This window comes from Homo sapiens, chromosome 17, assembly GCF_000001405.40.
Source record: "Homo sapiens chromosome 17, GRCh38.p14 Primary Assembly".
NCBI classification, from domain to species: domain Eukaryota; kingdom Metazoa; phylum Chordata; class Mammalia; order Primates; family Hominidae; genus Homo; species Homo sapiens.
The window spans coordinates 66231007-66247772 of record NC_000017.11 but is presented as its reverse complement, the minus strand read 5'-3'; the positions used below and the strand labels follow the sequence as shown (position 1 = coordinate 66247772).

Here is a 16766-nt window from a genome sequence, read left to right as displayed (position 1 = left end):
TCACTCTGTCGCCCAGGCTGGGGTGCAATGGCGTGATCTCGGCTCACTGCAAGCTCCGCCTCCCAGGTTCACACCATTCTCTTGCCTCAGCCTCCTGAGCAGCTGGGACTACAGGCGCTTACCACCACGCACAGCTAATTTTTTGTATTTTTTTTAGTAGAGACGGGGTTTCACCATGTTAGCCAGGATGGTCTCGATCTCCTGACTTCGTGATCTGCCTGCCTTGGCCTCCCAAAGTGTTGGGATTACAGGCGTGGGCCACCATGCCTGGCCTTTGTTCTAATTTTAATGTGAAGCCATGGAGCATCTAAGCAGAAGAGTGACCCAATATGTTATTTTAGGATGATCACTCAGTTGAACTTCCAGGGCCTAGAACTTGATGTTATGATTGACAGGATGCACATCACTTTTTGAAGAAACCCACTTCATTGCTGAAAGTCTTTAATTATTAAACATTAGGGCAGGCGCCGTGGCTCACACCTGTAATCCCAGCACTTTGGAAGGCCGAGACAGGCAGATTACTTGAGCTCAGAAGTTCAAGATCAGCCTGGGCAACATGGTGAAATCCGTCTTTACAAAAAAATACAAAAATTAGCCAGGCGTGGTGGCAAGCACCTATAGTCCCAACTACTTGGGGTGGGGGCTGAGGCAGGAGGATCGTTTGAACCCCAGAAGTCGAGGCTGCAGTGAACTGAGATTGTGCCACTGTACTCCAGCCTGGAGGACAAAGTGAGACCCTGTCTCGAAAAAAAAAAGAAAAAGAAAAAAATCCATTTTTTCACACATTGAATCTTTCTTTCTTCTCTAAAACTGGTACCCATTAACCCAAAGTCTGTGCTCAGAATCCACTGAAAACAAGTTTAAAACTCCTTCCACATAATGGTTTTTGAAATATTTGGAGACTTTCTTAGTCTTCTCCAGGGTAGGCTTTCATGATACTTTGACTTATTATCCTGTTACATGACTTTCAGAGTTTTCATTGTCCTTCAGAGAGGTCTGGCTTTTCAGTATGCTCCTGAAGAACTGCCAAACTTTGGTCTGACCAACACAGTGCAAAGCAGTAATTGTGTTCAAGACTGGAGTTTTCTGTGTCTGAACACAGCCTAATTCAATTACACTTCAGCTGTGTCACTAGCAGGTCAGGCTAAACTTGTGGTTGATGGAAACATCTGGAACTTCTTCAAGCTCATGCTGCTTCCTCCTCCACTTCACCTGCATGCTGAGATTTGCAGTGATCTTGTGAAATGTATCCTGTGGTTTCCGGCTGAAGTGGTAAGGTTTTTGAGATCAACTCTCTCTGCGTTCTCTCAGTTGCGTAACATCTGAAAATTTGTAGTTTTGTTCTTATACTTTTTTTTTTTTTTTTTGAGATGGAGTCCTGCTCTGTCACCTAGGCTGGAGTGCAATGGCGCCATCTTGGCTCACTGCAACCTCTGCCTCCCAGGTTCAAGCAATTCTCTGCCTCAGCCTCCCGAATAGCTGGGATTACAGGTGCCTACCACCACGCCCAGCTAATTTTTGTAGTTTTAGTAGAGGCAGGGTTTCACCGTCTTGGCCAGGCTGGTCTTGAACTCCTGACCTCGTGATCCACCCACCTTGGCCTCCCAAAGTCCTGGGATTACAGGCATGAACCACCACGCCTGGCTCTTGTTTTTATTCTTTATCCAATTTGTTGAAGATATTGAACAGAATAGGACTGTGGAAATAATTCTATAGTCTTGTTTTTTTTTTTACACAGTCTCACTCTGTTGTCCAGGCTAGCGTGCAGTGGTGTGATCTTAGCTCACTGCAACCTCCACCTTTCAGGTTCAAGAGATTCTTATGCCTCGGCCTCCTAAGTAGCTGGCATTACAGGCATGCGCCACTACACTCAGTTAATTTTTTGTATTTTTAGGAGAGATGGGGTTTCATAATGTTGGCCAGGCTGGTCTTGAACTCCTGACCTCAGGTGATCCGCCTGCCTCGGCCTCCCAAAGTGCTGGGATTACAGGTGTGAGCTGCTGCATCCAGCCTATTGTCTTATTCTTGAAATTTTTTCTTCTTCGTTTTCTTTTCCAAGATGGAGTCTTGCTCTGTTGCCCAGGCTGGAATGCAGTGGCGCAATCTCTGCTCACTGCAACCTCTGCCTCCCAGGTTCAAGCAATTCTCCTGCCTCAGCCTCCCGAGTAGCTGGGATTATAGGTGCCCACCACCATACCGGGCTAATTTTTGTATTTTTAGTAGAAACAGGATTTCACCATGTTGGGCAGGCTGGTCTCAAACTCCTGACCTCAGGTGATCCCCCCACCTCGGCCTCCCAAAGTGCTGGGATTACAGGCGTGAGCCAGTGTGCCTGGCCTGAAATTTTTTCTTAACTGTCAGCTTTTAAAATAATGAACTGGGGGGTAGAGGAGTATATTTGTGTGTATGTAGTGTGAGGTTCCTTAGCTGTGGGATATTGGCAGACAGACAAAAGTGAAGGTTTTCAAACAGAGCCAGTAGATGAAGGGGACATGCCATGGTGAAGAAAATTAATGAGAGAACACATAGAAACAAAGGGGAAAGCACAGATATTCTTGACAGGTTAAATAATAAGTTGAATTTCCTTTGATCTAGGAGACAAGGGCAGTCATCTGTCAAGCTCCTTGACGTATTTTTGCTTGTTCACATATCCAGACATTGTGAACCCAGAAAATCTGAGGCAGGTCTCAGTTAATTTAGAAAGTTTATTTTGCCAAGGTTGAGGATGTGCCTGCGCCCGTGACACAGCCTCAGGAAGTCCTGACGACATGCGCCCAAGGTGGTCGGGGCACAGCCTGGCTTTATACATTTTAGGGAGACATGAGACATTAATTGCTTTATGTAAGAAGTACATTGGTTCGGTCTGGAAAGGCGGGACAACTTGAAGCAAAGGCAGGAAGACTCAAAGCAGAGAAGTTACATTCTTTTGAGTTTCTGATTAGTTTTTCCAAAGGAGGCAATCAGATATGCATCTATCTCAGTGAGCAGAGGGGTGACTTTGAATAGAATGGGGGGCAAGTTTGCCCTAAGCAGTTTCCAGCTTGAGGTTTCCTTAGTGATTTTGGGGGCTGAAGATATTTTACTTTCACAATATCATAAGACTGCTTCTTAAGATCCATGGTCCTCTCGAAGAGGCCAGTATGAATCAACATCGGTGGGTGTTCATACTCACTTTAAACTTAAAGATTTAGGCCAGGTGGGGTGGCTCAAGCCTGTAATCTCAGCACTTTGGGAGGCTGAGGCCGGCAGATTGCTTGAGGCCAGGAGTTCAAGACCAGCCTGGGCAACATGGCAAAACGCAGTTTCTACCAAAAAACAAAAGAAAACAAAACAAAACCCAAAATTAGTTGGGTGTGGTGACTTACACCTGTAGTCCCAGCTACTTGAGAGGCTGAGGATCACTTGAGTTTGGGAAGTTGAAGATACAGAGAGTGGAGATCATCCCACTGTATTCTAGCCTGGGTGACAGAGTGAGACCCTGTTTCAAAAATAAATATAAATAAATATATATAAAGATTTAAGCTTAAGGCCGGGCGCAGTGGCTCACACCTGTAATCCCAGAACTTTGGGAGGCCGAGGTGGGTGGATCACAAGGTCAGGAGTTTGAGACCAGCCTGACCAACATGGTGAAACCCCATCTCTACTAAAAATACAAAAATTAGCCAGGTGTGGTAGGGCATGCCTGTAATCCCAGCTACTCAGGAGGCTGAGGTAGGAGAATTGCTTTAATCTGGGAGGCGGAGGTTTGCAGTGAGCTGAGATCGTGTCACTGCACTCCAGCCTGGGCGACAGAGCAAGACTCCATCTGAAAAAAAAAAAAAAAAAAAGATTTAAGCTTAAAACAAAAAGCAATAGATGATATTTGTGGGAGACATTCATGCCTCTACTCTCTTAAAAAATAATGAATCATTCCCCAAGTCCTCATTTTACTTTCATATAATCTAGACCTATGGCAGCTAATAAACCTCTGTGGAGTTTGGGTGTTTCATGTTATAGCTATTGAGCAGAACTTTTCATATACAGTTTGTACAAGCAGCTGTCAAATCACTTAGAAGTACCATATCCCAAGCCACAGTTCGGTATCTTACTCCCAAGGATGCCAGTAGATAACTCATCAAATGCTTTACTAAAAGAGGGATATACATTGTAGCTAAAGTGTTGCCCTTTTCTACTAACCTAATAACAATGTCAAAAAACATAATTGGATTTAATTTGTTGAAACCTTCAAATGTTTTGAAGAGAGTTCATATTATTTTTCAGTCATCATTTCACATTCATCTACATACCCATAAACCATTTGTTTAACAATTCATACCATTGGGCTGTGGATTTATGTCAAACTTACTGAGGCTTGGCTGTCAGAATCTATTGCTTTTCCTTCTGTGTCTTCAGGCATCTTTGTGTTCATCGTTTTTGAAAATGTTTTTTTCTCCCATCATGAAATAATACAAACACATTACATAAAATTTGGAAGCAGAGAAAACAAGAAAAAAAAATCTCCTTCTAACTCAAATACTCAATATTTTGGTACACTAACTTCCAGCATTTTTTCTAGATATATTCTTTTTAAAAAAATTTTTAGGCCGGGCATGGTGGCTCACGCCTGTAATCCCAGCACTTTGGGAGGCTGAGTTGAGCGGATCACAAGGTCAAGAGATGGAGACCATCTGGCCAACATGGTGAAACCCCATCTCTACTAAAAATACAAAAATTAGCTGGGTGTGGTGGCACACACCTGTAGTCCCAGCTACTTGGGAGGCTGAGGCAGGAGAATCTCTTGAACTGGAGAGGCTGAGGTTGCAGTGAGCCGAGATTGCACCACTGCACTCCAGCCTGGCAACAGAGAGAGAGACCCCATCTCAAAAAAAAGAAAATCTTTATGTTAAGTTCCAGGGTACATGTGCAGAATGTGCAGGTTTGTGTATGTGGGTATATATTCTTAACAGTATCACAGTGTTGTACATGTATTTTTTTTAATTGAGACAGGTTTTAGCTCTGTTGCCCAGGCTGGAGTGCAGTTGTGTGATCTCAGCTGACTGCAACCTCTGCCTCTGAGTTCAAGTGATCCTCCTGCCTCAGCCTCCTGAGTAGCTAGGACTACAAGCGTGTGCCACCATGCGTGGCTAATTTTTGTATTTTTGGTAGAGATGGGGTTTCACTATGTTGCCCGGGATGGTTTCAAACTCTTGAGCTCAAATGATCTGTCAGCCTCAGCCTCCCAAAGGTCTGAGATTACAGGCATGAGCCACCTCACCCAGCCAATTGTACATGAATTTTAAAATACAATTTTCATTTTATTAGATTGTCCTCCTTACCATCCTATATTGTAAATATTGTTGATAGTGAACTTCCCAGGGTCACAATTACACGTTTTAACAACTTGGAATATGTTTTCCTGGGTTTCTAGCCCCTAAATTCATTTTGGACAGCTAGTTTCTTGTATTATTTTCTAGCTGGACTTTTATTCCATCTTCCTGATATACATTTTTATTTTTCAGTGTGAGTGTAATTTCTTTCTTTCTTTCTTTTTTTTTTTTTTTTTTGCTATATAGGTGTTTTAGTCTGTTCTTGGGTTGCTGTGAAGAAATATCTGAGACTAGAAAATTTACAGAGAAAACAGTTTTAATTGGCTTATGGTTCTGCAGGCTGTTTACACAGCCAGCATTTGCTGGGCTTCTGGAGAGGCCTCCAGGAAATTTTATTCATGGTAGAAGGTGAAGAGGGAGCAGGGAGCAAGAGAAGGAGCTGGGAGGAGGTGCCACACACTTAAACAACCAGATCTCATGAGGACTCAACTCACACGTGCCAAGGAAATGGTGCTACTCCATTCCTGAGAAATCTGCCCATAATCCATTCACCTCTCACCAGGTCACACCTTCAACCCTGGGAATTACACTTCAGCATGAGATTTGGGGGCACAAATATTCAAACTCTACCAATAAGTCAGAAGAAAACTAACAATTAAATAATCGGTCTCTCTCTTTGTCAGCTTTCAACCTTAGGTTTAGAAACTTCATCCTTGTAAATCGGAACAAAAATTGGGCTAACCTTTCAGGAAGGCAACTAGGCAGTATGTTTGAAGATTCTTAAATGTTTTACCCTTTGCTTAAGTAATTCCACATCTAGGACTCTATCCTAAGGAAACAATTTATTCAAAAATTTTATAAAAGGGCCGAGTGAGGTGGCTTATGCCTATAATCCCAGCACTTTGGGAGGCTGACGTGGGCGGATCACTTGAGGCCAGGAATCCGAGACCAGTCTGGCCAACATGGTGAAACCCTGCTTTTGTAAAAATACAAAAAATTAGCCAGGTATGGGTGGTGGGCACCTGTAATCCCAGTTACTTGGGAGGCTGAGACAGGAGAACAGCTTGAACCCAGGAGGCGGAAGTTGCAGTGAATAAGATAGCACCATTGCATCTGCACTCCAGCCTGGGTGACAGAGCAAGACTCTGTTTCAATGAAAAAAAATTTGTAAAAGAATCTTGGTTGCTCTGCCTATGGGGAAGCCATTCTTTTACTCCTTTACTTTCCTAATAAACTTACTTTCACTTAAAAAAAAAAAGAATCTTAACTGTACCTTTATTCATAATGGTGAAAGATAGCACCCAAATATCCCAAAGTAAAGAAATGGTCAAAATAGAGAGCATCTACATGATGTAAGATTGTGTAGACATTAAAGAAAAAAGCAAGCTTTGAAGACACAAATAATAATCTGGGAAAGTGCTCATGATATGAAAATAAAATATACAACAATATACCGAATATGATTCCAATTCTGATTATGACATATACAAATGCTGAAAAGAAATAACCCTAAATGGTGATATTATAGGATTTTTAGTCATTTCCTGTTTGTTTTCCAGATTGATTTAAATGATACTGTATTACTCTCATAATGAGAAAAGTATAATTCCATATGTACGAATCATCTTCCTTGTGAAATACAATAACTCTTCCTTCCTCTTTCCATCCTGACTTCTACACTTTATTGTCTTTGCATTTTTTCTGATCTTTATCACATCTTGGATTTAGTTTAGTCAGCTGAGCTCCTGACATTTTATGGACTTGGTTTATACTGTACTTCGTTTTTTTTTTTTTAATTTTTTTTGAGACAGAGTCTTACTCTGTCACCTAGGCTAGAGTGCAATGGCACTATTGCTGCTCATTGCAACCTCCACTTCCTGGGCTCAAGCGATTCTCGTGCCTCAGCCTCCTGAGTAGCTGGGATTACAGACGTGCACCACCATGCCTGGCTAATTTTTTTTTATTTTTAGTAGAGACGGGGTTTCTTCATGTTGACCAGGCTTGTTTCGAACTCCTGGTCTCATGTGATCCACCTGCCTCGGCCTCCCAAAGTGCTGGGATTACAGGCATGAGCCACCGTGCCCGGCCTCTATGCTGTACTTCGAATTCATCCCATGTAATATTCCCCTTCCTCCATCCTTTTTTTTTCTTTCCCAACCTGAGCTCATCAGAAAAACTTCCTGGGAAGTCATATTAGTTTCTCTGGCTGCCTCCTCATCTTCTGCACCAGATCGTCAGCAAATGCATTTCCAGAATCTTATTATCAAGCTCTCATCTGTTAAACCTCATTCCCTTTTAGGTTTTCTGGTGATGAGATCATCCCCATAATTTCTTTCTAATTCTCACAATATGTTTTTCTAAATAGTCCGTGACACTTGTGTGAAAGGTCTCAATGTTCTCTTCTTCTTTCTTTCGAGATGGAGTCTCACTCTGTCACCCAGGCTGGAATGTAGTGGTGCGATCTCAGCTCACTGCAACCTCCACCTCCCAGGTTCAAGTGATTCTCCTGCTTCAGTCTCCTGAGTAGCTAGGACTACAGGTGCGCACCATCATGCCCAGCTAGTTTTTGTATTTTTAGTTGAGACAGAGTTTCACCTTGTTGGCCAGGCTGGTCTCCATCTCCTGACCTCATGGGATCTGCCCGCCTCGACCTCCCAAAATGCTGGGATTACAGGTGTGAGCCCCCATGCCCGGCCTCAGTGTTCTCTTCTTTGTATTCCAAAGCATCATGGCCTTTTTGTCTCAAACTTGTCCTAACTCAGAACTTCTTGTGAAGCAGGAAAATGAAGTGAGCTGGGGGGCTGATACCAGACTCTCACACTGGGACTGGACAGAGGGCTGAGATGATCCAGCCAGCTGAACAGCTGACTCTGGAGGGACTGGCTGCAATTTGTGGTGGTCATTGGCTGAGAGTTGGGTGACATAATGACCCTACTGAATGTCGCAGAAACATCTATATTATTTTCTATACCAAGATAAGTTGGGGAGACTTACAATTTTGCTACTCATGGGGACTAAAACCGGGTAAGCAGTATCATTATGGGACGCTCATTTAACCTGCATGAACCACATGCCTACCTTTGTGTGATTTTGTGTAGGAATTTCAAATTCTTTGGAGTAAGACATCAGAGGCATGTATATTAATGACAAGAAGAATGTTAATGAGAACTAACTTTCATTAAACACTCATTATAATATCACCACTTAGGGTTATTTCTTTCAGCATTTGTATATGTCATAATCAAAATTGGAACCATATTCAGTATATAATTATGTATTTTATTTTCATGCCATAAGCAATTTCCCAGATCATTATTTGTGTTTTCAAAGATTGCTTTTTTTTCTTTAATGACTACATAATCTTACATCTTGGAGATGCTCTCTATTTTAACCATTTCTTTGCTTTGGGATATTTTGGTGCTTACTTTCACCATTATGAATAAAGCTACAGTTAAGTATCCTGCCTGCATTCTAATTGAATCCTGACTACACCCATTTGAAGGGGGATTTGTTTATTTATTTATTATTTATTTTTTGAGACAGAGTCTTGCTCTGTTGTCAGGCTGGAGTGCAGTGGCGCAATCTCAGCTCACTGCAACCTCCGCCTCCTGGGTTCAAACGATTCTCCTGCCTCAACCTCCTGAGTAGCTGAAACTACAGGTGTGTGCCACCATGTCCAACTAATTTTTGTATTTTTAGTAGAGATGGGGTTTCACCATGTTGGCCAGGATGGTCTCCATCTCTTGACCTCGTGAGCCACCCCTGTTGGTCTCCCAAAGTGCCAAGATGACAGGCATGAGCCACCTGCACCTGGCTGGGGGTTTTATTTATTATCTCCATTTTAGACATGAAAACTTGACTAGAGAATGTTACTTGCCCAAGATGACACAGCTACTAAGAGGCAGAGCCAGGACTCCAACTCAAGTATACGGTGATTAAAACCTCTGTCCTTAGCCATGACACCATGGTCTTGCCACAGTGATGAACTTGCCCCCATTCTCTGATGGGGTCACTCTATGAAGAGCCAGAGACTATGCTCCTTTTTCTATTTGGTGCACACCATCCTCCACAGACTCAATATCACAATTATATCTAAGCACCTTTCTCCAAATCCAATCTAACACGTAACATATGGGTTGGTGAATTTGCCTAGCAAAATTCCTGCCAGTTTCTAAGTAAAGACTTTGGCCCCTAGCTAGGACTCCGTTCCTCTGGCATTTCAGGCCTTGATTTCGGGGAAAAGGGGAAGGAAATTCCTTCCTTCTAATGTATGCTTCACAAGAGCAGCACATGTTCTGGTTCATCAGAATGGCCAGTTTCATATTGTTCATCTCACAGATGAACACCACAGAAGATGCCATTGGTTTGGAGAGTGGAATGAATGGAAGATGAGTTTATGTGGCAACATACTACGGTTTTTCTTCTTCCAGTCTCTCTTTCTCCCTGCACTACTCTCTGATCCCAGTGTGTCTTCTACACTGCTATCGATATACTTTCGAAAATACAAACCTGATCCGGTTCCTCCCCTTCACCGCCTTCAAGATAAGTTCTAATTCCTAAACGTGGCTTACAAGAGCCTTTGCCAGCTGGGTGCGGTGGCTCATGCTTGTAATCCCAGCTCTTTGGGAGGCCAAGGCAGGTGGATCACTTGAGGCCAGGAGTTCGAGACCAGCCTGGCCAAGATGGCAAAACCCCGTCTCTACTAAAAATACAAAAATTAGGCCCAGTGTTGTAGCTCCGTAGCTAAGGTTCTCTCCTTTCACAGTGGTGGCCCGTGTTCGATTCCTGGCTTAGAGAATGAGTACTTTCTGGTTAATATCTGTGTGACTTTTGGGGCTGGGTATGGTGGCTCATGCCTGTAATCCCAGCACTTTGGGAGGCCAAGGCAGGCAGATCACTTGAGGTCAGAAGTTTGAGACCAGCTTGGCCAACATGGTGAAACCCTGTCTCTACAAAAATACAAAAATTAGCCAGGTGTGCTGGCATGCCTGTAGTCCCAGCTACTCAGGAGGCTAAGGCAGGAGAATTGCTTGAACCCAGAAGGCAGAGGTTGCAGTGAGCCAAGATCACACCACTGCATTCTAGCCTGGGCAACAGAGTGAGACACTGTCTCAAAACAAAACAAAACAAAACAAAAAACAAACAAAAAAAACAAAAGAGCCTTTATCATCTAGTTCCTACCCACTCTCCACCTTTGTTTGCTGCTATTCCTTACCTGAAATATTCTGCACCAGCAACACTCAACAATTTGCAACTGTTGGGTGCATGATGCTGTTTTATGCCTTTGCTCTTTGGCAACAACCTGGAACATCCTCATCATTGCCACTACATCCTTATGTGCGGGGATACACATGCATCTGACACTTTCTTCTATGATTGTAATTGTAGCATTGTACCTCAGTCTTAGTAAACTGCGAACTCCTTATAGCCAGTAGTCAACTCTTGTTTATTTCTGAAATTCTGCTATCAACCACAAATTACAGCTTAGTAAGGGCTTAGTAGCAGTTTGTAAAAAAATAAAATAAAATAAAAAAGAAAGCCTGGGCACGGTGGCTCATGCTTGTAATCCCAGCACTTTGGGAGGCTGAGGCAGGCAGATCACTTGAGATCAGGAGTTTATGACCAGCCTGGGCAACATAGGGAGACCCCCATCTCTACAAAAAATAAAGAAATAAGAAATAAGGCTGGGCGTGGTGGCTCACGCTTGTAATCCCAGCACTTCGGGAGGCAGAGGTGGGCAGATGACTTGAGGCCAGGAGTTCGAGACCAGCCTGGACAATATGGCAAAACGCTGTCTCTACCAAAAATACAAAAAATTAGCCAGACATGGTGGTGCAATGACTTGTGATCACGCCACTGCACTCCAACCTGGGTGACAGAGTGAGACACTGTCAAAAACAAACAAACAAACAAAAAACACCCAAATAAATAAATAAATAAAAGCATTAATGGCACTTAGGAGAAAATGCACAAGAGACTCAGAGCTGTGTCATATTCAAAGTACAGAAAATAGTCTCACTTGGCAAGGGAGAAAATGTATGTGGTAGAACCGTATTAGCTGAACTTGTCTTAGGTGAACATTGACGTGCTAGATCAGTGGATCTTTATCCTTACTTCAATCATACTTACCTGGACAATTGTTTTAAAAATCACTATACCGGCCGGCCGCGGTGGCTCACGCCTGTAATCCCAGCACTTTGGGAGGCCAAGGCGGGTGGATCATGAGGTCAGGAGATCGAGACCATCTTGGCTAACACGGTGAAACCCCGTCTCTACTAAAAATACAAAAAATTAGCCGGGCGCGGTGGCGGGCGCCTGTAGTCTCAGCTACTCGGGAGGCTGAGGCTGGAGAATGGCGTAAACCCAGGGGCGGAGCCTGCAGTGAGCAGAGATCGCGCCACTGCACTCCAGCCTGGGTGACAGAGCGAGACTCCGTCTCAAAAAAAAAAAAAAAAAAAAAAAGCACTATACCCAGAAATTATGAGTATTGGTATTTTTAACAAACAATTGGGAACATCTACTATGCAGCCAAGGATAAGACTAACTACTCTAGATAAAAATAGAAATTGCAACATATGGATATTAGTTTTTTCAAGGTAAAAGCTACCTGTATTCAGAGGATCCCAGTGTCCACACAAAAATGTCCCAGTGCTGACTTAGGCCCATTATTGATTTCTAGACATATTTAATCATGCCCATTAAGCCCTGTGACATGTTTATACCCCTTATAAATGCATATCTAGTTCCTGACATATTTTATCATAAAGAGAAGGCATTTGAATCTTTTCTCTGAAATGTGGTTGGTAGATATTGACTAGAATTCCAACTCAGAAGGAGACAACATTGAAAGTAGGTTTTTAAACAAATAATCTAAACTGTTGCTAAATGTTTAATATCATGGTCAAAGTCTCTGCTTGGGAAGTAAATAAGAAAGTTTTTGAACATGTGATGCAATGTGGTTTCAGGAATACAAAAACCTTGGACTCTGAATCCAGGTCTCTATAGTTTAATTTACAAATTAGCGTAAGAAACGCTATAAAGTCATTAACAGTTTCAAAAGACGAGGTCCCATGTTACTTGTGATAAAAATGTTGTTATTTTATATATTCTTAAATTCTCAGGTATTCTTGATCATGCTTGTATATATATATACGTATATTTTATATATTATATATATTATATATACATATATATTATATATATATTTTCAGATGGAGTTTCACTCTTGTTGCCCAGGCTGGAGTGCAATGAGTGATCTCAGCTCACTGCAACCTCTGCCTCCTGGGTTCAAATGATTCTCCTGTCTTAGCTTCCCAAGTAGCTGGGATTACAGGCGCCCGCCACTACACCCGGCTACTTTTTTGTATTTTTAGTAGAGATGGGGTTTCACCATGTTGGCCAGGCTGGTCTCGAACTCCTGGCCTCAAGTGATCCACCTGCCTCATCCTCCCAAAGTGCTGGGATTACAGGTGTGAGCCACCATACCCGGCCTGTTAAAATATATTAATAGCATGTTAAGTGTAACATTAAACCCAAGAGTTGCCAATCTTTACTGATGAGTATAAACCCTGAAAATACAAGACAGCCACTTGATTTGCCAAAATTCCATATTTTTTAACAGTTTTTCCACTTGCTCTGCCAAATAAAACTTCAATGGTAAGTTTAAATGTGTCTTTAAAACTGTCATTTAACATTGGTAAGCAGCCAGCTCCTCAGTTATTATCATAGGTTAGTTTTGGGAATGTGAATCGAAGTGCGTGGAGGGAAGATAGATCAGTTAACTGATCAACCAGATGGTGCTAAAGTTATGTGGCCCAATGTGTCACAAACTGGAAGGTGAAAATAATTGAAAGGTGCAATTGCATCTTATCTCTCCAAAGACTTCTTCATTAGGGCCATGTGTGTTTCTGGAAGAGTTTTAGGAATACCTTGTAGTTCTCTCTCTTTTTTTTTTTTTTTTTTTTTGGAGATGGAGTCTCGCTCTGTCACCCAGGCTAGAGTGTAGTGGCGCAATCTTGGCTCACTGCAAGCTCCGCCTCCCGGGTTCACGCCGTTCTCCTGCCTCAGCCTCCTGAGTGGCTGGGACTACAGGCGCCCGCCACTACGCCCGGCTAACTTTTTTTTTGTATTTTTAGTAGAGACGGGGTTTCACCGTGGTCTCGATCTCCTGACCTCGTGATCCGCCCGCCTCGGCCTCCCAAAGTGCTGGGATTACAGGCGTGAGCCACCGCGCCCGGCCAGGAATACCCTGTAGTTCTCAGACATGTTCAAGTTCAGCCGGAGGTAATGGCTCACACCTGTAATCTCAGCACTTTGGGAAGCTGAGGCAGGCGGATCACTTCAGTCCAAGAGTTCGAGACCAGCCTGGCCAACATGGCGAAACTCTGGCTCTACTAAAAATACAAAAATTAGCTGAGCATGGTGGCCAGCTGATAATCATCATAATCCCAAAATTATGATTATGAATAAATTAATCATAATTATACTCATAATTTATTAATTATGCAGATTACCATTTATTATCTTTGTATTTAATTGTTCAAACAAGGGAAATTTTTACCAGCCGAAGAGTAAACATGAAAGTTGTAATTACAAATGCATGTAACAGCCCACAAAAGCCGTCAAACTAAGTTTGATTTAGTGGTTTCTCCATTTTCCTGTCACTGTTATTTTGCATAATTTTTCAAAGCTCAGTAGCTGGCAAATAGGAGCTGAGTGTCAATGATGGCGGTGGGGTGGGGGCCAAGCTTGTATTCCTCTTTAGGGGGCGATGCAAATAAAATTTGAGGCCTCGTATGATCCAGTTTAAAAATCACATCTCAATAGAAGGACTTTCAAGGAAACCACAAAAAGCGTCCTTCCTTCCTTCCTTCTTTTCTTCCTTCCTTCCTTCCTTCCCCTTCCTTCCTTCTTTCTTTTTCTTTCTTGTGCTCTCTCTCTCCTTCTTTCCTTCTTTCTTTCTCTCTCTTTCTTTCTTCTTTTTCTTTTTCGTTATTTTTTAAATGATTTCAAATTACAAACATACAGAAAAGTTGTAAGAATAGAACAAAAACTTCCTTGTTCTCTTTACCCAGAGACCCTAGACCCTTCCATTCAAGTGTCACCAAATGCCCCTTCGGGCCCACACTGTGCACCCAGTTCTCATGTCCACCTGGGTTCCCTAAGTCTTTCTTTGCCTTTCATGGCTTTTGCCCTTTTGAAGATGACAGGGCAGTCATTTTGCATAACGTCCTTCAATTTGTGTGTGTACAGTGCCTTCTCATGACACAATCCAGGTTACTAAGCTTTTGGCAGGAATATCACAGAAGTGACGCTGTGTCCTTCTCATTGCATCCTCTTGGTGGAGGACATACATGCCAATTTATCCCATTAGTGGTGACATTAATTTTGATTACTTAATTAAGATGGTGTCTGCCAGGTTCTTCCCCTCTAAGTTTCTCTTTGTCTCCTTTATAATAAATAGTTATTTTATGTGGAGACATGTTTAAGGCTGTATGAACATTTCTCATCCTACTTGTATCCCCTGATTCTAGCATCAATTGATACTTCTTTGCCAGAATTAAATCGTTTCATAATTATTTCCAAATTACAATTCTCTAAGTCCAGTATTCCTCTATATTAATTGCTTGGCATTATACTCTAAGGAATAACTTTCTTATCTCTTCACATAATTGTTAATGTGTTTATTACTATCACTGTGGACTCACTGATTCCTATTTTATTCAGTGGAGTATAATCCATTACTATTATTACTTATTTGGACAAACTGTCACATATTTGACCAGAGAAAGCACCCCCCGCCCCCCGCTTTTTTTTTTTTTTTTTTTTTTTTTTTTTTTTTGAGATGGAATCTCACTCTGTCGCCCAGGCTGGAGTGCAGTGTCACGATCTTGGCTCACTGCAACCTCTGCCTCCCGGGTTCAGGTGATTCCCCTGCCTCAGCCTCCTAGCTGGCATAACAGGTACACGCCACCATGCCCTGCTAATTTTTGTATTTTTAGTAGAGACGGGATTTCACCATGTTGGCCAGGCTGGTCTCAAACTCCTGACCTCAAGTGATCCACCCACCTCGGCCTCCTGAACTGCTGGGATTACAGGCGTGAGCCACCGCACCCAGTCAAGAAAGCCACTTTCAAATGGCTTCTCTGTCCTTTGGACATGTCCCTATCATTCTCTGAGCATTACCTAAGTTGTTCAAGATGGTGTTCCAGGCTCATCTTGTACTTTTCCTTGACCCAGTTCAAGAATCAGCCAATTTTCTAAGGAGCTTTGGTGCCTTTCGATGGTGGATTGCATTTATTTATTTATTTAGATAGTGTCTCGCTCTGTTGCCTAGGCTGGAGTGCAGTGTTGCAATCTCATTGGCTCACTGCAACCCCTGCCTTCTGGGTTCAAATGATTATCTTGCCTCAGCCTCCCAAGTAGCTGGGATTACAGGCACCTGCCATCATGCCTGGCTAGGTTTTGTAGTTTTTGTAAAGACAGGGTTTCACCCTGTTGGCTAGGCTGGTCTTGAACTCCTGACCTCAAGCGATCTTTCTTTCTTCCTGAAGTGCTGGGATTACAGGCATTAGCCACCACGGCCTGGCCAAGAATTGCATTTAACAACCAATATTTAGGCACTGTGTGTGCTCATTGCTACTGGATGTACTACTGCTATTATCCTAGTGGACAGAACTAAGAATTATATGTATATTCAGGCATACATTCACACACATGTACATACCATTATATCTATATTGATTTCTGTATCTGTTTATATATACGCACAATTTGTACTGTCTCCATTTTCAATCCAACACCTCAAGGTTCATGCTAACTTTCCTTCTTTCCGCATTGTTACTTCTCTTGTTAGTGAGAAACCTGACCCCCATTATCCTCAATATATTTGCTTGTTTGCTCAATCTCCTATATGTAGCTAAGCTTGTGACACCATCACGCTGCCATCCTTACACAGATAAGCATGACTTTCCCCTTGAGGCCTTCCTTGTGACTTTTAGACTGAGTTAGGATGAAAAGAAGGAGGAAGGGAGGAAGAGAGGAAGGGAGGAAAGGAGAAAGAGAGGAAGGGAGGGAGGAAGGAAGGAAGGAAGGGAAGAAAGGAGGGAGGGAGGAAGGGAGGGAAAAAGGGAGGGGAGAAGGGAGGGAAGGAAGGAGAAGGGAGGGAGGGAAGGAAGAAGGGAGGGAGGGAAGAAGGAGGAAAGGAGTGCATAGTTTTCCAATTGAAGTATAATCAAGTAAACACACAGATCTTAAATATTTGGCTTGATGGCTTTTGAAAATTGCATGTAGCCAAGTAACAACCACCTAAAATAGAATATAAACTATTTCGACACCCCTACCCCAAGTTTCCTAATGCAAGGGAGCCCAGCCACCAGGAAACATCATTAAAAACCCTTCTCCTTGTCCTCTCTCAATATCAGGCACTCAGTTTGTAGCTGTTGCTGAAAATATTCTCGT

At 42.6% G+C, this 16766-nt stretch overlaps 1 annotated feature.

The window, feature by feature from the left end:
- Positions 14428-14722: a silencer, noted in NCBI's record as "tiled region #2592; HepG2 Repressive DNase matched - State 5:Enh". NCBI's record gives its function as "represses a minimal TATA promoter and a strong SV40 promoter by Sharpr-MPRA in HepG2 cells {active_cell/tissue: HepG2}" and the evidence as "EXISTENCE:reporter gene assay evidence [ECO:0000049][PMID:27701403]".